The 23,041-nt window shown below is 45.5% G+C and overlaps 1 annotated feature.

The window, feature by feature from the left end:
* Positions 17,258-17,759: an enhancer, noted in NCBI's record as "H3K4me1 hESC enhancer chr7:44995675-44996176 (GRCh37/hg19 assembly coordinates)". NCBI's record gives its function as "activates a minimal SCP1, AML or CMV promoter by ChIP-STARR-seq in primed H9 embryonic stem cells {active_cell/tissue: H9 hESC(primed)}" and the evidence as "EXISTENCE:reporter gene assay evidence [ECO:0000049][PMID:30033119]".

Genomic DNA, 23,041 nt, shown 5'->3' on the forward strand with positions numbered 1-23,041 from the left:
TTGTTGGAAAGAATCTAGTATATAAGAAATGTGTAATGTTCAGGGGAATTAATCAACACAAGCTGTGGTTTGTGTCACGTTTTAAACTTAATGATATCTGTAGACCCAATGGATGGCAGAAATAGAAATGAGTATTGTCCATATTTAATGATGAGGAACTTGAAGCTTTCCCACTAAGATCAGGAACAAAGCAAGGATGTTCCCTCTCACCACTCTTTTTCAACATTGTACTGGGCAACCTGGCTAATGCAATAAGATAAGGAAAGAAAACAAAAGGTATACAGGGTGACTTTTTTTTTTTGAGCGTCTTGCTGTGTCACCCAGGCTGGAGTGCAGTGGTGTGATCCCAGCTCACCACAACCTCTGGCTCGCGGATTCAAGCGATTCTCCTGCCTAAGTCTCCCAAGTAGCTGGGACCACAGGTGCCCACCACCATGCCCTGCTAATTTTTTTTTGTATTTTTAGTAGAGATGGGGTTTCACTATGTTGGCCAGGCTGGTCTTGAACTCCTGATCTCGTGATCCATCCACCTCAGCCTCTCAAAGTCCTGGGAATTACAGGCATGAGCCACCGTGCCCAGCCAGGATGACTTTTTAAAAAAGAAATAAGGCCGGGTGCAATGGCTCACGCCTGTAATCCCAGCAATTTGGGAGGCCAAGGTGAGCAGATCACCTGAGGTGAGGAGTTCAAGACCAGCCTGGCCAACATGGTGAAACCCCATCTCTATTAAAAACACAAAAATGAGCCAGGCGTGGTGGCGGGCGCCTGTAATCTCAGCTACTCCAGAGGCTGAGGTGGGAGGATCGCCTAAACCTGGCAGGTGGAGGTTGTAGTGAGCTGAGATTGTGCCACTGCACTCCAGCCTGGGCAACAGAGCAAGACTCCATCTCAAAATAAATAAATAATAAAAACTAAAAAAGAGATAAAACTTTTTAAAGATGGCATGATTGTCTATGTAGTGAATAACAAAAACAAAAACAAAACCTCCTGAAGCTAATAAACAATTATAGCAAGGTTGTAGGATACCAGGTTAATCTATAAAAGTCAAATTGCTTTGTTATATACCAGTAATGAACAATTGAATTTTTTAAGAGACAGGGTCTTACTTTGTTGTTGCCCAGGCTGGAATGCAGTGGTGTGATCATAGCTCACTGTCACCTCAAACTCCCTGGCTCAACCAGTCCTCCCCTCAGTCTCCCAAGTAGCTAGGACTACAGGTGGATGCCACCATGCCCAACTAAGTTTTAATTTTTTCTGTAGAGACAGGGTCTCGCTATTTGCCCAGGCTGATCTTGAACTCCTGGCCTCAAGCAAGCATCCCAACTAGGCCTTCCAAAGCACTGGGATTACAGGTGTGAGCCACTGCACTTGGCCTGAAATTTTAAATTAAAAAGACAGCATTCATATTAGCACCAAAAAAAAGGGGGGGGGGAGGGGAAATAGGTATAAATCTAAGAAATATGTACAAGTTCTATATGAGAAAAACCATATAACTCTGATGAAAGAAATCAAAGAACTAGATAAATGGAGAGATACCCCATGTTCATGGACAGAAAGAGTCACTATTGTCAGGATGTCAGTCCTTCCCAATTAGATCTATATATTTAATGAAATCCAAATCAAAATCCCAGCAAGTTACTTTTTAGATATAAACAAATTATAAACTTTATGCAGAAAGGCAAAAGACCCAGGATAGCCAACACAGTATTGAAAAAGATGAGCACAGTCAGAAAACCGATACTACCTGACTTCAAGACTTACTATAAAGCTAGGTGGGGCGCAGTGGCTCATGCCTGTAATCCTGTAATCCTGTGCTCATGCCTGTAAAGTGCGGTGGCACTTTGGGAGGCCAAGGCAGATGGATCACCTGAGGTCAGGAGTTCGAGACCAGCCTGGCCAACATGGTGAAACTCTGTATCTACTAAAAATACAAAAGATTAGCTGGGCGTGGTGGCAGATGCCTGTAATCTCAGTTACTCTGGAGGCTGAGGCAGAAGAATCGCTTGAACCTGGGAGGCAGAGGTTGCAGTGAGCCAAGATCGTGCCACCATACTCCAGCCTGGGTGACACAGCAAGACTGTCTCAAAAAAAAGAGACTTACTATAAAGCTAAAGTATTGGTGAAAGAATAGACAATAGATCAATGGAACAGAATATAGAGCCCAGAAATAGACCCACACAAATATAGTCAACTGATCTTTGACACAGGAGCAAAGACAATATAATGGAGCAAAGATGGTCTTTTAAACAACTGGTGTTGGGGCACGGTGGCTCACCCCTGTAATCCCAGCACTTTGGGAGGCCGAGGCAGGGGGGTCCCTTGAGGTCAGGAGTTTGAGACCAGACTGGCCAACATAGCAAAACTCTGTCTCTACTAAAAATGTAAAAATTAGCTGGGCGTGGTGGCGAGCACTTGTAATCCCAGCAAGAGGCTAAGGTAGGAGAACCACTTGAAACTGGGAGGCTGAGGTTGCAGTGAGCCAAGATTGTGCCACTGCACTCCAGCCTGGGTGACAGAGTGAGACTCTGTTTCAAAAAACAAACAAACAAACAAACAAAAACAAATGGTGTTAGAACAATTGGACATTCATATGCCAAAAAAAAAAAAAGAATCTAGACAGATAGACAGATATCTTATACTTTTCACAAAAATGAACTCAAAATGAATCATAGACCTAAATATAAAACACAAAACTATAAAACTCCTAGATGATAACATGGGAGAAAACCTATATGACTTTAGGTATGGTAATGATTCTTTAGATATAACACCAAAAGTATGAACCATGGAAGAAATAATTAATAAGCTGGACTTCATTAAAACTAAAAATATTTGCTGTGTGAAAGACATTATTAAGAGAATGAAAAGACAAGCAACACACTGGGAGAAAATATTTGCAAAACACATATTTGATAGAAGGCTTGTATCCAAAATATAGAAAGAACTTCTATAGAAATAAAATATAATATAGAAATATAACATAATAGGCTGGGCACGGTGACTCACGCCTGTAATCCCAGCACTTTGGGACGCCGAGGCCGGCGGATTACCTGAGGTCGGGAGTTTGAGACCAGCCTGACCAACATGGAGAAAATCCATCTCTACTAAAAATACAAAATTAGCCGGGTATGGTGGTGCATGCCTGTAATCCCAGCTACTCAGGAGGCCGAGCAGGAGAATCACTTGAACCTGGGAGGCGGAGGTTGCGGTGAGCCGAGATCCCGCCATTGCACTCCAGCCTGGGCAACAAGAGCAAAACTCTGTCTCAAAAAAAAAAAAGGCAAAAGATCAGGACACCTCACCAAGAAGATATACAGATGTCAAGTAAGCATATGAAAAGATGCTTAACATGATATACCATTAAGGAGATGCAAATTGAAACAGCAATGATATACCACTTCACCCCTGTTAAAATGGGCAAAATCCAAAACACTGACAATACCAAATGATGGCGAGGATGTGTAGCATCAATAACTCTCATTCATTGCTAGTGGGAATGTGAAATGGGGACAGCCACATGGAAGACAGTTTGGCAGTTTCTTTAAAATCTAAACATATTCTTACCATATGTTTCAGCAATTGCGTTCCTCGGTATTTACCCAAATGAATTGAAAACTATGTCCAGACACAAAAAACCTGCACACAAATGCTCATGGCAGCTTTATTCATAGTTGCCAAAGCCTGCAAGTAACCAAGTTATTCTTCAGCAGGTGAATGAATAAACAAACTGCGATACAGCCATAAAATGAAACATTATTCAACAATTAAAGAAAAAGAAGAGCCACCAAGCCATGGCTCTTAATCAAGATCCATGATCAAGCTCTTGATCACCCAAGAACCTGGGTGATCACGCCACTACACTCCAGCCTGGGTGACAGAGCAAGAACCTGTCTCAAAATTTTTTTTTAACTTTTTATTTTTTTATTTTTATTTATTTTTGTTTTTGTTTTTTTGAGGCAGAGTCTTGCTCTGTCACTCAGGCTGGAGTGCAGTGGTGCGATCTTGGCTCACTGCAAGCTCTGCCTCCCGGGTTCACGCCATTCTCCTGCCTCAGCCTCCTGAGTAGCTGGGACTACAGGCGCCTGCTACCACGTCCGGCTAATTTTTTGTATTTTTAGTAGAGATGGGGTTTCACCGTGTTAGCCAGGATGGTCTCAATCTCCTGACCTCGTGATCTGCCCACCTCGGCCTCCCAAAGTGCTGGGATTACAGGCGTGAGCCACCGTGCTCGGCTAACTTTTTATTTTGAAATAATTGTAGATTCACATGTAATTATAAGAAATAACACAAAGCCATGAAAAGACATGGAGGAAACTTAAATGCATTTTGGTAATTGAAAGAAACCAGTCTGAAAAGGCTACATATTGTATTATTCCAACAATATGACATTCTGGAAAAGGTAAAATTATGGACATAGTAAAAAGATTAGTCAGTGGTTGCTAGGGGTTTGGAAAGAAGAGGGGAGGGATGAATAGGTGGAGTAAAAGGGATTTTTAGGGAAGTCAAACTATTCTGTATGACACTGTAATGGTAGGTACATGACATTATGTATTTGTTAAAACCCATAGAACCATACAACACAAAGAGTGAACCTTAAGGTAAATTGTGAACTTTAGTCAATAATGTATCAATATTGGTTTATCAGTTGTAACAAATGTAGCACACTAATGCAAGATGTTAACAATAGGAAGCCATATGTGTAGTAGGGAGAGGGAATACATGGGAAATCTGTACTACCTGTTCAATTTTTCTATAAACTTAAAACAGAAAATCTATTAACAAAATATCAGCTTGCCACTGTAGCTCATTCCTGTAATCTCAGTACTTTCCAAGGCTGAGGCTGGAAGGTTGCTTCAGTCCAGGTGTTTGAGGCTGCCATGAGCTATGGTCCCACCACTACACTCCAGCCTGAGTGACAGAGCAAGATCTTGCTAAAAAAAAAAAAAAAAAAATTGTATTCTCACCACCAACATATGAGAGTGCTTCTTTCCCAACAGCCTCACCAACAGAGTGTGCTGTCATATTTTTACAATTTTTAATCTGATGTGTGAATGTAGTTTTCATTTGCAGTTATTTAATTTTGAGTGACATTGAACATCTTTTCACATATTTATGTCTTTTTATGTATGTGTGAATTGTCTGTTTATAGCTTTTGCTCATTTTTCTATCAGATTGTTGGTCTTATTTTCACCTAATTTTTTCTTTTTTTTTTTTTGAGACAGGGTCTCACTCTGTTGCCCAGGCTGGAGTGCAGTGGTGTGATCACAACTTACTGCAGCCTCAACCTCCTGGGCTCAAACAATCCTCCCACCTCAGACTCCTGAGTAGCTGGGACCACAGGCATGCACCACCACACCTGGCTAATTTTTAAATTTTTTGTAGAGGCAGGATCTCCCTGTGTTGCCCAAGCTGGTCTTGAACTCCTGGGCTCAAGTTATCCTCCCGCCTTGGCTTCCTAAAGTACTGGGATTACAGGCCTGAGCCACGATTCCTAGCCCTCCTTTTAAATTTTTAAATTAAGGGTGGGCATAGTGGCTCATGTCTGTAATCCTAGCAATTTGGGAGGCCAAGGTGGGAGAATTGTTTGACCCTAGAAGGTTGAGACCAGCCTGGGCAACATAGGGAGACCCCACCTCTACAAAAATATTTAAAAATTAGCCAGGCATGGTGACGCGTGCCTGTGGTCCCAGTCCCAGCTACTCGAGAGGCAGGGGTGGAAGGATTGCTTGAGCCCATCATGCCACTGCACTCTAGCCTCGGTGACAGAGCGAGACCCTGTCTCAAAAAGAATTTTTTAAATTAAACTTTTTATTTTGAAATAATTGTAGATTCACATGTAATTGTAAGAAATAACACAGAGAGATCCTATGTCCCCTTTACTCTATTTCTGGCATTGGTAACTTTTTACTTTTTGAGATGGAGTCTCACTCTGTCACCCAGGCTGGAGTGCAGTGGCATGATCTTTGCTCACTGCAACCTCCACCTCCCAGGTTCAAGCGACTCTTGTGCCTCATCCTCCCGAGTCGCTGGGATTACAGGTGCATGTCAACACATCTGGCTAATTGTTGTATTTTTAGTAGAGACAGGGTTTCACTATGTTGGCCAGGCTGGTCTGGAATTCCTGACCTCAAGTGATCCACCCGCTTTGGCATTCCCAAAGTGCTGGGGCGTGAGCCACCACGCCCAGCCCAATGGTTAACATCTTGCAGAGTGAGAGTACAGCATCACACCAGGACACTATAGTGACGCAGTCAAGGTACAGAATGTCCATTTCCACAAGAACAGCTCCTGTTGCCCTCTCCAGGCAATCATAGCCCCTACAGGATATGGGATACAGATTAGTGGTTTCCAGCGAATAGGGACTGGGAGGAGGAATGGGGGTGGGAGGGAGGTGGATGTGCATATAAATGGGCAACACGAGGGATCTTTATGGTGAGGGAACTTTTCGGTATCTTGACCATGATGATGAATACATGGACTTATACAGGTGATAAAATCGTATAGAACTTAACACACACACAGACACACGCACACAATGCAGAAATAAAATGAGGAAAATCTGAATATGATCAATGGATTCTATCCATATGGATATACTGGTCATGATGTTAGACTATATTTTTGCAAATGTTACCCTTGGGGGAAACTGGGCAAAGTGTACAAGAGATTGCTGTATTATTTCTTACAACTGATTGGGAATCTCCTTTTATCTCAAAATAAAAAGTTTAATTAAAATGAGAATTTTCATAGCAGCTTTATTCATAATCACCAAACACTGGAAGCAGTTCATGTAGCCAGAGAATAGATAAACACTCTGTGGTTCATCCCTATAGTGAAATATCACTCAGCAAGAAATATGAATAAACAACTTATAAACATGCTTAACCTCAGAAATATGCTGAATGAAAGAAACCTCAGAAAAGAGTACTTAATGTGTGATTCCATATGTGTGGCATCTAGAATGGCCAAAAATAATCAATCTATGGTGGAAAAAAAAATAGAACAGTGGTTGCCTGGTGAAGGGGCAGGCACGTTTGGTTTGGGAATGCTCTCTAACCCCCTTGCTAGGGGTTAGGTTACAAAAGTATACACACTTGTCATCAAATAAAAAGTGGGGAAAAAACATAATCAAATGGTACACTTAAAATTTGTGTACTATGTTATATGTAAATTGTACCTCAAAAGAAAAACAAGAGCCACAAACAAATAACAAACTTCAGTTAATAATGTGCAAACAGAAGTATCTGAATACGGGAAGTATACTGTTGCCTGCAACTTAATTTGAAATGCCCCAGAAAACAAAAGCAAGATGGCTAGTAGAGAGGATAAATGGATACATATGTGATAAGGCAAGTAGAATATAAAATATAAGTCTTTTCAACTTTTCTGTGTGTTTGAGAATGTTCATAATAAGATGATGGAGGAAAAAGTTTTTGATCCAGCAGTTTGAGACACCATTATGATCAGGTACTAAATTTTCATGTGAATTTGGGTCTGTTCCTGTACTTTCTTTTTTTTCAAGACAGAGTCTCACTCTGTCACCCAGGCTGGAGTGCAGTGGTGCAACCTCTGCTCACTACAACCTCTGCCTCCTGGGTTCAAGTGATTCTCCTGTCTCAGCCTCCTGAGTAGCTGGGACCATAGGTGCGCGCCACCACACCCAGCTAATCTTGGTATTTTTAGTAGAGAAGAGAGTTTCACCATGTTGGCCAGGCTGGTCTCAAACTCCAAGCATCAAGTGATCTACCCGCCTTGGCCTCCCAAAGTGCTGGGATTACAGGCATGAGCCACCGCGCCCGGCTCTCTACTTTCTTTTCTATTCCACTGGTAATCATTCTAGTACCATACTCTTCATTTTAAAGGCCTTTGTAGCATGTTTTAATGTTTGGTGTGGCTAGCTGGCTCTTGTAGCTTCTCTTTTTCAGTGGTTTCCTGGCTATTGTTTCCTTCTAATTTTTCTATATGAACTTTAAAATAACTTGTTTATATTCGGGGCCGGGCACGGTGGCTCACACCTGTAATCCCAGCACTTTGGGAGGCCGAGGCAGGTGGATCACAAGGTCAGGAGATCGAGACCATCTGGCCAACATGGTGAAATCCTGTCTTTACTAAAAATACAAAAATTAGCTGGGCGTGGTGGTGGGTGCCTGTAATCCCAGCTACTTGGGAGGCTGAGGCAGGAGAATGGCTTGAACCCGGGAGGCGGAGGTTACAGTGAGCCAAGATCATGCCACTGCACTCCAGCCTGGTAACAGAGGAAGACTCTGTCTCAAAAATAAATAAATAAATAAATAACTTGTTTATATTCATAATTGGTGTTTTTATTGGAATTGTGTTAAATCTGTAAATTTGCTTAGAGAAAACTGACATCATAATGATACTGACTTTTCTGTCCAAGAACAAGGGACAAATGTCTTCCATTTATTCATACTTAGCCTTGTATCTTACAGGCTTATATAGGTTTCGCCCATTTTATTTTATTTTTATTTATTTATTTTTTGAGATGGAGTCTTGCTGTGTCACCCAGGCTGGAGTGCAGTGGTACAATCTTGGCTCACTGCAATCTCCACCTCCCAGGTTCAAGTGATTCTCCTGCCTCAGCCTCCTGAGTAGCTGGGATTACAGGTGCCCGCTACCACACCAGGCCAATTTTTGTATTTTTAGTAGGGACGGGTTTCGCCATGTTGGCCAGGCTGATCTCAAACTCCTGACCTCAAGTGATCTGCTGGCCTCAACCTCCCAAAGTGCTGGGATTACAGGCGTGAGCCACTGCACCCAGCCAGGTTTTGCACATTTTAGGTTTATTCCTAAGTATTTGACCTTTTTGGGCTGTTACATATACAGTGTTTGCTACCACTGTATACTCTGACTGGTTGAGATTTGTGTATATGTAGGGCATTATTGATTCCTGTATGTCAATTTTATGTATTTATTTATTTTTAATGTTTTCCACTCTGTTTTATGGTACTGAACTGTGTGTTAATTTTATATCCCAGTTATGTTCATGAATTCTTTTGTCTCAGTAACTTTATCATTGACTCTCCAAACACAATTTTAATCCTAAACCTAACTTTCACTGTAATTCTAGCCTAACAAGACCCTAACTAGCATTAACCCAAAAGCTAAGTCTGTCATTGATTTTAATCCTAACCCTATTTCTATCCCTAATCATAAATCTAACCATAACATTAAGCCTGACTCAAGCCTAATCTAACTTTTACCTTAAACCTAACCCTAGTCAAACCCCAAAGTTACCACCTATATTAAATAAAACATAACCTTACCAAAACAGAATATAAACCTTAATCCAAGAGCTCTCTCTAAGCCTAACTCCTGACCCTAACAACAAATAGCTCTACTAATAAACTTTATCCTAATTATAACAATAACCCACATCCACACTCTAATCCTAATTCTGAATTTAACATAATCTGTCACTAACAATACTCTAACCACACCCAATCCCCAAATTAGCATTAATTCTAAACCCTAACACTAAGCCTAACCCAAATGTAATTTAATCCTAACCTGAACTTCAAACCCAAAACTAACCCTAACCTTAAATCTAACCCTAAACTAACTGTAACCCTAACTAACTCCAGCTCTGAGAATCAACTTTACCTCAACTCTACCCCATTAACCTAAACACTAACGATATCCTTAACTCCAACCCTAAGTCTAAAGGTAATCCTCATACCAACCAAATATTAAGCCTAACCATAATCATAAATATAATCATATTGCCAAAACTAATCCAAATTTAACTCTAACACCAAATTTAGCCCTAACCCAATACTAATTCTAACTCTAATATTTGAACTAACCCCAAATATTACCTTATTATAGTCATGAACTTCATCAAATTGCCAACTCTAATCCTAACTCCAACACTGTCGTTAACCTTCAATTTAACTGTTAATAGTATCACTAAACCTCAGCACTAATCTTTACCCTCATATTAACTCTATCATTAAGCAAACCCTGGATTAACAAAACTCCTATGTAAACCCTTACTCTAATTCTAATTCTAACCCCAACTCGTCAACTAAAAACAACTCTAGTCCTAATGCTCATTTTAATAACCCTAAGCCCGGTGCCAACTCTAGCACTAAATTTATCCTGAAACCTAATACTAACCCCAAAACAAGAAACAGAGCTCTAATTTGAATAAATAATCCAATTCGAAATCTGTCACTGTTTTTTTTTTCTTTTTTTGAGACAGAGTCTCGCCCTGTCACCCAGGCTGGAGGGCAATGGTGTGATCTCGGCTCACTACAAGCTCCAGCTCCCTGGTTCAAATGATTCTCCTGCCTCAGCTTCCTGAATAGCTGAGATTACAGGTGCCCGGCACCACACCCAGGTATTTTTTGTATTTTTAGTAGAGACAGGGTTTCACCATGTTGGCCAGGATGGTCTTGAACAGCTGACCCCGTGATCTGCCCTCCTTGGCCTCCCAAAGTGCTGGGATTACAGGAGTGAGCCACTGCACCCGGCCACTGTTTTTATATTTTACTGTCTAATCAGATTCAAAGACCTGTGTCATCTGACAGGCACATTTCCCCCTAATTTGCTATGAATATTAAAATTCTAAAGAGAAATCATGTGACGGTTTTCAGAGAGATTGGTGTCTATTCCAATAAGGCCCCTTCTCTGACACCTGGATCTCATTACCAGATCCTAGGCTGTTTCTTGTCATTTCTGGAACTTGTCCTGAGTATTTGCAGAGTTGGTCAGACTTTGGGGGAGTAACTCATACTAACCCAAACCTATCAGACAAATGTATAATGCAAATCACCAATGTATTGTGAGTGTGGAGTTGTATACAAAATGGACAACCAGCCCATTTGTACAACTAGAACTCTGAAGTACAGCCTGCAGCCACCTACCCAGGAAAACAACATTTTCTTTTTTTTTCTGAGACAGAGTCTTACTCTGTTGCCCAGGCTGGAGTTCAGTGGCGCGATCTCGGCTCACTGCAACCTCCGCCTCCCGGGTTCAATCAATTCTCCTGCCTCAGCCTCCTGAGTATCTGGGATTACAGGCGTCCGCCACCATGCCCGGCTAATTTTTGTATTTTTAGTAGAGATGGGGTTTCACCATGTTGGCCAGACTGGTCTTGAACTCCTGGGTGCAAGTGATCCACCTGCCTCAACCTCCCAAAGTTCTGGGATTGCAGGCGTGAGGCACCGAGCCCAGCCACAACCTCTTTTATCTACAGTAACCAGCCTGGGGTGCCAACCTGCTATAAGTCAAACTTGCAGGAAGCCAGGTGCTATCTCTAGTGACAATCTAGGAAGCTAGTAATTGGCACTGTGGCTCACACCTGTAATCCCAGCACTTTGGGAGGCTGAGGAGGAGGATCTCTTGAGACCAGGAGTTCAAGGCAAGCCTGGGCAACATAGCGAGACCCCATCTCCACAAAAAATTTAAAAATTAGCCAGGTGTGGTGGTGCTCATCTGTACTCCCAGCTACTGAGAAGGCTGAGGCAGGAAGATCACATGAGCCTGGAAATTCAAGGTTACAATAAGCTATGATTCTGTCACTGCACTCCAGCCTGGGCAACAGGACAAGCCCTGTCTCAAAAAAAAATTAGCATCTTAACAATTTTCAAGTGCACAGTTCAGTGGTGTTAAGTACATTCACATTGATGTGCAATCACTACATCCATCTCCAGAACTTTTTCATCTTCCCAAACTGAATTTCTGTCCCCATTAAACACTAACTCCCCATTTCCCTTCCCCCAGCCCCTGGCAGCCACCATTCTACTTTCTGTCTGTATTAATTTGATGACTCCAGGTTCCTCATATAAGTGGAATCAGACAGGATTTCTTTTTGTGACTGGCTTATTTCACTTAGCATAATGTCCTCAGGGTTCATCCATATTGTAGCATGTGTCAGAATATTCATCCTTTTTAAGGCTGAATAATATTCCACTGCGTGTATATACCACATTTTGTTGGTCCATTCATCCATCAATGGACACTTGGCTTGCTTCCACTTTTTAACTATTGTGAATAATGCTGCTATACGTATGGATGTACAAATGTCTCCTCAAGATCCCTTTCAACTCTTTTATACATATACCCAGAATTGGGATTGCTGGATCATATGAGAATTTTTAAAAAATTTTTTGAGGAACTGACATACTGTATTCTATAGAGGCTACTGCCAAATTTTTATTTTTAACTCCTCTTTTTAAGATCTGTGAAGAGCTTCTGTCTTAGTCCATTTGTGCTGCTATAAAAGAATATCACAGACTTCCAAACACAAAGAAAAGATAAATGTTTGAGGTGAAGAATATCCCAATTACCCTGATTTGATGATTAATATTGTATACTTGCCTGGATGTGGTGGCTCACGCCTGTAATCTCAGCACTTTGGGAGGTAGAGGCAGGTGGATCACTTGAAGTCAGGAGTTTGAGTCTAGCCTGGCCAACATGGTGAAACCCCATCTCTACTGAAAATACAAAAATTAGCCAAGCATGGTGGTGGGCACCTGTAATCCCAGCTACTCAGGAGGCTGAGGCAGGAGAATCGCCTGAGCTAGGGGGGCAGAAGCTGCAGTGAGCCAAGATAGCACCACTGCATTCCAGCTTGGGTGACAGAGTGAGACTCCATCTCAAAAAAACAATTATATACATGTATCGAAATATCATACGTACCCTCCAAATATGTACAACTATGATATGTCAATTTGAAAAAGAATACCACAGACTAAATAATTTATAAAGAAAAGAAATTTATTTGTCACAGTTCTGAAGACTGGGAAGTCCAAGATCAAGTTGCCACCATCGGGTGAGGGCCCTCTGCTGTGTCATCTCATGGCAGAAGGCAGAAAGGCAAGACAGCAAGCTAGCCAAGTGCAGCATGAAGGCTCTTTTTTAAGAGCCTTAATCTCATTAATTTATTTATCCCATTTATGTATTCATTCCTTATTAGGAAGGAGCCCTCATGGCGTAATCACCTCTTAAAGGTCCCATCTCTTAATGTCAGCACACTGGTAACATCTGAATTTTGGAGAGGATACATCCAAACCATAGCGTTCTGCTCCATACCCTCCCCAAAACTTATGTCCTTCTCACATACAAAATGCATTCATTTCATTCCAATAGCCCCAAAAGTCTTAACTCCTTCCGGAATCAACTCAAAAGTCTAAAATCAAAAGTCTCAGGTAAATCAAATATGAGTGAGACTCAAGGTGTGATTCTTCCTGAGGCAAATTGTTCTCCAGCTGTGAATCTGTGGAATCAAACAAGTACTTGTTTCCAAAATACAATAGAGGAACAGGCATAGCATAAACATTCTCATTCCAAAAGGGTGCAATAGGAAAGAAGGAAGGAGTAACAGGTCCCAAGTAAGTCCAAAACCCAACAGAATAAATAACATTAAATCTTAAGACTTAATAATATTTGGCTAGGTGTGACAGCTCACCCCTGTAATCCCAGCACTTTGGAGGCCAAGGTGGGAGGATTGCTTGAGTCCAGGAGTTCAAGACCAGCCTGGACAACACAGCAAGAACCCACCTCTACTTTAAAAATAAATAGGTCGGGTGCAGTGACTCACACCTGTAATCCTAGCACTTTGGGAGGCCAAGGTGGGCAGATCACCTGAGGTTGGGAGTTCGAGCCCAGCCTGACCAACATGGAGAAACCCCGTCTCTACTAAAAATATAAAATTAGCAGGGCATGGTGGTGCATGCCTGTAATCCCAGCTACTCAGAAGGCTGAGGCAGGAGAATCGCTTGAACCCGGGAGGCGGAGGTTGCGGTGAGCTGAGATCGCACATTGCATCCCAGCCTGGGCAACAAGAGCAAAACTCTGTCTTAAAACAAAACAAAAGAAAACAAAATTAGCCAGCCATAGTGGCAGGTGCCTGCAATCCCAGCTACTCGGGAGGCTGAGGCAGGAGAATCGCTTGAGCCCAGCAGGTGGAGGTTGCAGTGAGCCGAGATGGCGCCACTGCACTCCAGCCTGGGTGACAGAGGGGAAACTCTGTTTAAAACATTTTTTTAAAATAAATAAATACGTAAATTTTAAGTAAAAAATAAATGTATAATTTAAAAATATTTTTTAAAAATTAAAAAAGAAGAACAATCTTCTTTGACTTCATGTCCTGCCATCTGAACAGAGTAGGGCAGGGGTTGGGCTCCCAAGGCCTTAGGCAGCCCTGACTCCATGGCTTTGTTGGCCACAGACTACGCTCAAGTTTCATGCATTGAATTTTCATGCCCGCTGGTGACTTTACAGGTCTGAGGTCTTGGGGGCAGCCCCACTCCCATGGCTCCATTAAGCATTGCCCTAGTGGATGCTCTCATTTGTGGCTCTCCCCCTGCAGCAAGTCACTACCTGGACCCTGAGGCTGTTTGAGACATCTTTTGGAATGTAGGTGGAGGTAGCTATGCTTCTACAGCTTGTGCACTCTGTGCACCTGCAGAGTTAGCACTATGTTGATGCCACCAAGGCTCACTGCTTGTGTCCTCTTGAGTGGGCAGCCCACTTGTGGTATGGCAACTCAGCCACACCCGAGCCCACCTGAGCCACAGCTGGGGTGGCCAAGGACTGCTGTGCGAGAGTGGGGAACAGAGACCTGAGGTGGCCCTGGACAGTAAGCCCCAAGGTCCCTTGGGCATCTTGGACCCCTCCTTTGAAACTCTTCTGCCCTCAAGGCCTTATCACTCTAAGCCTGTGATGGGTATAGCAGCCCTGAAGATATCTGGAATGCCTTCAAAGTCACTCTCCCATTGTCTGGATGAATAGTACCTGGCTTCCTTCTAGCCATAATCTCCCGATTAAATGTTGTTTGGCCACACCCTTAGTTTTCTTTCTTAAACACACTTTTTTATTCTTTCTATTCTGACCAGGCTGGGAATTTTCCAAATCTTTACATTCTACTTCCCTTTTAATTAAAAACTCTGTCTTTCATCTTTCTCTGTCTTTCTCGCATCTCACTTTACCATAAGCAGGTAAGAGAAGCCATGCACCATCCTAAACATTTTGCTGCCTAGAGATTTATTCTGCCAAATACTCTAGTTCATAGCTCTCAAGTTCTGCGTTCCATACATTAAGTCCTAGGACACAAACACAGTTCTGCAAAGTTCTTAGCAATTGTATAACAAGGATGGCCTTTCCTCTAATTTTAAAAAATTTTTTTATTAAAAAAAAATTGTTTTTTGAGATGGAGTCTCGCTCTGTCACCCAGGCTGGGGTGCAGTGGCATGCTCTCAGCTCACTGCAGCCTCCGCCTCCTGGGTTCAAGTGATTCTTCTGCCTCAGCCTCCTGAGTAGCTGGGACTACAGGTGCACACCACCACGCCTGGCTAATTTTTGTATTTTTAGTAGAGACACGGTTTTGCCATGTTGGCCAGGCTGGTCTCAAACTCCTGACCTCAAGTGATCCACCTGCCTCAGCCTCCCGCTCTTGGTACCACCCCACTTCTGGTATCAATTTCTGCCTTAGTCTGTTTGTGTTGCTATGACGGAATACCACAGGCTGGGTAACTAATAATGAAAAGAAATTTACTTCTCACAGTTCTGGAGGCTAGGAAGTCCAAGATCAAGTTACCAGCATGTGGTAAGGGGCTTTCTTGCTGTGTCATCTCATGGCAAAAGGTAGAAGGTCAAGAGAGCAAACCAGCCAAATGCTGCATGAAGCCTCTTTTGTAAGGGTCTTAATCCCATTACTACCGAAGAAGTCCACATAATCATCTCTCTTTTTTTTTTTTTTTTGAGACAGAGTTTTGCTCTTGTTGCCCAGGCTAGAGTGAAATGGTGTGATCTTGGCTCACTGTAGCCTCCGCCTCCTGGATTCAAGTGATTCTCCTGCCTCAGCCTCCCAAGTAGCTGGGATTACAGGTACCCACCACCACACCCAGCTAATTTTTTGTATTTTTAGTAGAGATTTTCTCCTTGTTGGCCAGGCTGGTCTCGAACTCCTTGCCTCAAGTAATCCCCCTGCCTTGGCCTCTCAAAGTGCTGGGATTACAGATCCACTGTGCCCGGCCAACCTCTTAAACGCCTCACCTCTTAGGACAAGCACATTGGCAACACCTGAATTTCAGAAGGGATACAGTCAAACCATGGCACTATCACTTTCCTAAGAACACATTTTTTCCAGACAAGCCCGGAACAGCTGGGTGGTCACAATCACCTAGACTAGCCTGGCCTTCCCAAGCCTCTGCGCCATTCTCTGGTGCTCAGCCTCTTACTCCACACTTGGTCCTGTCCCATCCACCCATGTGGCTTGTCACCAGCCTCATTCATGAGATTAATGGGTTTTCACACTCAGAGGCTGCTTGCTGGCTCTGCGCTCTCACCTCCACACTCAGCCTGTCCTTGCAGCAGCTGTGGTCAATTCCTTTCTGCTCTGTCTCCCTCTGCTCAGGCTGGGGTCACAGCAGTGTGGTGAGGTCAGCCCTGTGTGGGGAGGAACACTCAGCATGGCTTATTGCTAAGGAAGAGCTGGGAGGTTTCTGTCCTGTTTTGTTCACTTGGAAAATGTATTGATTGCTTGGTGGCACATTTTTCTGATAAACAGAGCAGAGTAATGGATGGTGTATGGGAACTGGACCTGGGGAAGCTAACCTCACACTGCTATGATACGGACCTTGTGATGTGCAGCATTTCTCCATCTGCAGGATTATTCTTCTGTTTGCTCAGCTCAGTGAAGATTTAAACTGAACAGATGGTCATGTTCCTTCAGATTTGCTTTCTAGAATATTCTGACCTTTTGTAGCCTGTAAGGATTTTTTTCTCCAAGCAAAAGTAAAAGCAAGAGCATATCTTGGTTGCATTGGGTGTTACTAAAGTGATTTGTGCAGGCCTCTCAGTCTCAGGACTTCTCCCAGCCCCTGCTCTGTGGGAGCCAGTACCCTTGGACTTCTCTACCAGGTGCTGGAGGTGGAGGCCTCACCCCACAGATGAGGCCTATTCCCACCCCATTATATGCATGTTGACCAAAGCCAGGTTGAATTTCCCAGGTCCAGCCTCAAAAAGTACCATCTCCCAACTGACAGGGATGGAGGCAACTGTTTTGGCTAGCTTAAGGGGCAGGTAGGGGTCAACAGGAAGCTGCCTACCCCCACCCTGCTGCTTATCTTGGTCCTGGGTGGCCTTGGTCCAAGGCTGCTTATTTTAGTCCAAGATGGAGCTGGCCTCAACCCCTGATGAAATACTGCCCTCCTGCTGAGAGCTCAGCACATGGGGGAACCATGGGAGCACAGACAACCCCTGGCCTACAGCCACTCTGTACCCGGCCACCTATAAACTGGCATGACTTGGCAGCATTCATTGTAGCAATTCGGGGGAAAATAGGAAAATACCTGCAAAAACAGGGTAGAAACTCCCTGCAATCCCACCAGCAGGACACAAGCACTCTCAATATTATATTCCATCTTTTTTTTTCTACCTACACAGACAGAGAACGGATTCTACGACAGTTTTGTTTCTGATTACCCTGGCCTGCAGCGCCTCTCTCCAGCCCCTCCCAGCATCTTCCCTAGATCCGTCTCACGCATCAAGGTGGGGTCTGGGCTCCTGGGAGGGACAGTGTGTCACAGTGCTCTCTGTGGCCTCCAGCTCAAGTATCTTGTGACCCTGCAGCAGAGTGACAGCAAGCCAGGGGTTACTGCTCCATCTGTTCTTCAGGAGCTCCGGGGGCTGAGCATCACTTTAGGCCAGGACAGAGCTTCCAGAAGACATGGCTGCATTCTAGGGGAGGGGGGCTTGCGGGCAAAGCTCTGACCCTTCTGGGGCTCAGGAGCAGTTTTTGGAGAGGATGAGTTTGTCAATGCCCACCTGCGGTGCTTACGCACCCACATGGCTGTAGAACCTGCTGTCTGGCCAGAGCGCTTGCCCCTCCTCACCAACCAGGCAGAGAGGGGGTCACAGCAGACAGAGGCTAGAGCAAGCCTTTCCCTGCATGGAAAAGGAGCACCCTGGTGACCACTGGAGAATGGCCTACAGTCCATGAATTTAAAAAAAAAAAAAAGGGGGGGGGGTTGTTGGGGGAGGCCAGGCGTGGTGGCTCATGCTTGTAATCTCAGCATTTTGGGAGGCCGAGGCAGGTGGATTGCTTGAGGCCAGGAGTTCAAGACCAGCCCGGCCAACATGGTGAGACCACGTCTCTGCAAAAAAATATATAAATTAGCTGGACGTGGTGGCACACACCAGTAGACTCAGATACTTGGGAGGCTGAGGCATGAGAATTGCTTGAACCTGGGAGGCTGAGGTTGCAGGGAGATACAGATTGCAGTGAGCCAAGATCACACCACTGCACTCCAGCCTGGGTGACAGAGTAAGGTTCTGTCTAAAAAAAAAAAAAAAAAAAAGAAAAAGAAAAGAAAAGAAAAAGTGGGGCGGGGGCAAGGAATTTTGAATAAACTGGCCAGGTGCGGTGGCTCATGCCTGTAATCCCAGCACTTTGGGAGGCCGAGGCAGGTGGATCACGAGGTCAGGAGATCGAGACCATCCTGGCTAACACGGTGAAACCCCGTCTCTAGTAAAAGTACAAAAAATTAGCCGGGCGTGGTGGTGGGTGCCTGTAGTCCCAGCTACTTGGGAGGCTGAGCCAGGAGAATGGCTGAACCCGGGAGGTGGAGCTTGCAGTGAGCCAAGATCGCACCACTGCACTCCAGCCTGGGCAACAGAGTGAGACTCCATCTCAAAAAAAAAAAAAAGAATTTTGAATAAACATTCCTTCAAAGACAATATATGAATGGCCAATAAGCACATGAAAAGTTGTCCAACATAATTCATTATTAGGGAAACGTGCATCAAAACTGCAATTAGGTAAGACTTCACATCCTTTAGGAAGGCCATTAAAAAAAAAAAAAAAAAGAAACACTTTGGGAGCCTGAGGCAGGCGGATCACCTGAGGTCAGGAGTTCGAGACCAGCCCGGCCAACATGGTGAACCCTTGTCTCTACTGAAAATACAAAAATTAGCCAGGCATGGTGGCGGGCACCTGTAATCCCAGCTACTTGGGAGGCTGAGGCAGGAGGATCGCTTGAACCCAGGAGGCAGAAGTTGCAGTGAGCTGATACTGCGCCATTGCACTCCAGCCTGGGCGACAGACCAAAATTCTGTCTCAGAAAAACAAAATAAAACAAAACAAAAACACCAAAACTTGGCTGGACACGGTGGCTCACGCCTGTAATCCCAGCACTTTGGGAGGCCGAGGTGGGCAGATCACAAGGTCAGGAGATTGAGACCATCCTGGCTAACACGGTGAAACCCCGTCTCTAATAAAAATACAAAAAAAATTAGCTGGGCGTGATGGCGGGCGCCTGTAGTCCCAGCTACTCGGGAGACTGAGGCAGGGGAATGGCATGAACCTGGGAGGCAGAGCTTGCAGTGAGCAGAGGTCGCACCACTGCACTCCAGCCTGGGCCTCAGAGCGAGACTCCATCTCAAGAAAAAACAAAAAACAAAAAACACCAAAACTTCAGAAAATAACATATTGGCATAGATGTAGAGAAGTTGGAACCCCATGTATTAGTTGTGGGAATGTAAAATGGTGCAGCCACTTTGAAAAACTATCTGGTGGTTCCCCAGAAAGTCAAACATAGAATTACCATTTGATGGCCGGGCCCAGTGGCTCACGCCTGTAATCCCAGCACTTTGGGAGGCCGAAGTGGGCAGATCACCTGAGGTTGGGAGTTTGAGACCAGCCTGACCAACATGGAGAAACCCCATCTCTGCTAAAAATACAAAATTAGCCAGGCATGGTGGCGCATCCCTGTAATCCTAGCTACTTGGGAGGCTGAGGCAGGAGAATCGCTTGAACCCAGGAGGTGGAGGTTGCAGTGAGCCGAGATCACGCCATTGCACTCCAGCCTGGGCAACAAGAGCAAAACTCCGTCTCAAAACAAAACAAAACAAAACAAAAAACAAATAAAAAAAGAATTACCATTTGACCCAGAGATTCCACTCCTAGATACATACCAAGAGAATTGGAAACATGTGTCCACACAAAAACTTATACACAAATGTTCCTAGCACCACTGTTCATAATAGCCAACCCAGATGTCCATCACCTGATGAATGGATAAACAAAATGTGGTGTCTCCATACAGTGCAATATTAGTAGTACATAGAAGAGTGAAGTACTGACAGATGCTACGATATGGTTGAGCCTCGAAGACACTATGCTCAGTGAAAGAAGCCAGACAGATGAGGCCATATATTGTATGATCCCATTTATACTAAATATCCAAAATAGGCATAACTGAAGAAACAGAAAGTACATTAGTGGTTTCCAAGGGCTGAGGGTAGGGGTAGGTAATTACTACCAGGTAACGAAGAGTGACTGCTGATGGGTATGGGTTTCGTTTTGGGGTGATGAAAATGTTCTAAAATTAGATAATGGTGTTGGTTGGTTGCACAACCTTATGAATATACTAAAGATTACCGAATTGCACGTTTTCAAATGGTAAGTTTTATGGTGTGTAAATTACACTTCAGTAAAGAAGCCGGAGGAGTATATGTGAGGATAATTAAAATAATTAAGTCTAAGCATTTTTTGAGGGGAGACCAATTTAACTTTAAATGTAAAAAAGAAAAAGAAAAAAGGTCACCTTTATGGTTCTGCTTCCTCATCTGCAAAACGGAGATAGTCACTCCTGCTCCCAGAGCTGCTGGGGGACCGGACACTGCAGTGAGGGAAGCCACCCCCAAGCCCATGTATGGGATCTCCTCTTCCTGCATGCTGGAAAAAGGATCTCCTCTGTGTGTGTGTCATCACATGCCATGTCATGTAGTCCTTGTACCAATTTGAGGAGAGGTTTCTAGTAAACTCGTTCTGTTGGTGGAAAATGTGGATAGACTGGAACAAGTGGGTAGAAGCTGGACTCCTATATAGGCACTGTCCAACACAAGCCAATGATGCCATCCCAGTGCTCAGGCATCGCTCCTCATCTGCAAAGTGAGTGCACTGGTGTGACATGGAGGGCGTGTGCCTGCACGTGCGGCCACAAGTGCTGACATCATCCCCCTCAGTGCCTCAGGCACGTCATGGAACCTCTGTTTTCTCACCAGTAACTAGGCAATGATGGTAACTCTCACCTCAAAGGTATTGGGTGGGGGATATTTGCAAAGTGCTGGAACTATGGTGCTTCGTGAGTTTTTCTATTCACTATAGTGAATGCTATGTATGGGTTTGTCAAAGTGGTGTGTGATGCATATGAACCTTCTGTCACTTTCCCCTTCCTAGCATGTCGTCCCATCCCTTGGGCTGGATCTCAGGACCCCAGGAACCACCTGTCAATTATGACCTTTTCCCCTCGAGGCTGTGGGCATGAGCAGGGAGTGCCCACCAGCAAGCTGGACCCCAGATGTGTCTCCCACTCTGGACTTCCCTGAAGTTATCACTTGTCACTAAGGCCCTCCACTCAGCCTGACAGTGGGGCTTCCTAAAGATCTGGGGGAGCTTTGGGCTCTCCTCCCACTCCCAGTGCACTAGGGAGGAGAATGTAGACAGGAAATGGGCAGATGCTGCTGGGCTCTCTGATGAGGTCACCTGCAGAGGGCAGAGGACCCACCTAATGTCTAGGACTGTGTAGGATTGTGTGATTGAAAGGTACCCTTCATGTCTGATTGTCCTGTGAGGGAGGTGCCTGGCCCAGTCCTGAAGCCACCTAAGCCAAGGACAGACTCCGGAGCTGGCTGTGTGGAGGCTTCTGGGGGCTTTTGGGTTGGGCTAGGAGAGAGCTGCCCTCCCCAGGACAGGAGCAGCAAGACATTGACCTGCAGGCCGGAGGTGACCCTGAGCCCCTACACCTGCAGGTGCCTAGCCATTCAACAGGAGAGGCCCCAGAAAGTACAGAGACTGGACAGTCCCAAACTGTCATATGCCACCCAAAGGCCCTGGTGGAAGACGTGAACCTGCCCACACAACAAAGTGGCAAACCAAGCCAGGGTGCTCTCTGAATTTAGGTTGCCCCATAAGAAGGAGAGCACAGCTCTGGGGGCACAGAGAACACCAACTGATGGAAAAGAGGAAGGAGCTAAAGGGCTGAGGGCTGAGGGGATTGAGGGGTCTGAGGGGGCTGAGGGCTGAGGGGCTGAGGGCTAAGGGCTGAGGGGCTGATGGGGCTGAGGGCTGAGGGGCTGAGGGGCTGAGGGGGCAGAGGGGCTCAAGGGGCTGAGGGCTGAGGGGCTGGGGCTGAGGGGGCAGAGGGGCTCAAGGAGGCTGAGGGCTGAGGGGGTTGAGGGGGCTGAAGGGGCTGAGGGCTGAGGGGCTGAGGGGTTGAGGAGGCTGAGGGGCTGAAGGAGGCTGAGAGATGAGAGGCTGAGAGCTGAGGGGCTGAGGGGGCTGAGAGGGCTGAGGGGCTGAGGGGGCTGAGAGGGCTGAGAGGGCTGAGAGGGCTGAGGCGCTGAGGGGTTGAGGGGGCTGAGGGCTGGGGGGCTGAGGGCTGAGGGGGGTAAGGGCTGAGGGCTGAGGGAGCTGAGGGTTGAGGGGCTGAGGGGGCTGAGAGGGCTGAGGGGCTGAGTGGTTGAGGGGGTTGAGGGGGCTGGGGGCTGGGGGGCTGAGGGCTGAGGGGGGTAAGGGCTGAGGAGGGAGCTGAGGGGGCTGAGGGGATGAGGGGTTGAGGGGACTGAGGACTGAGGGGCTGAGGGTTTGAGGGGGCTGAGCACTGAGGGGGTTGAGGGGGCTGGGGGCTGAGGGCTGAGGGGGTTAAGGGCTGAGGGCTGAGGGGCTGAGGGGGCTGAGAGGGCTGAGGGGCTGAGTGGTTGAGGGGGTTGAGGGGGCTGGGGGTCGGGGGGCTGAGGGCTGAGGGGCTGAGGGGTTGAGGAGGCTGAGGGCTGAGGGGCTGAGGGCCTGAGGGACTGAGGGCTGAGGGCTGAGGGGCTGAGGAGGCTGAGGGGGCTGAGGGCTGAGGGGTTGAGGGAGCTGAGGGCTGAGGAGCTGAGGGGTTGAAGGCTGAGGGGCTGAGGGCTGAGGGGTTGAAGGGGCTGACGGGCTAAGGGGCTGAAGGGGCTGAGGGAGCTGAGGGCTGAGGAGCTGAGGGGTTGAAGGCTGAGGGGCTGAGGGCTGAGGGGTCTG

Source organism: Homo sapiens, chromosome 7 (genome assembly GCF_000001405.40).
Source record: "Homo sapiens chromosome 7, GRCh38.p14 Primary Assembly".
Classification (NCBI taxonomy): Eukaryota; Metazoa; Chordata; class Mammalia; order Primates; family Hominidae; genus Homo; species Homo sapiens.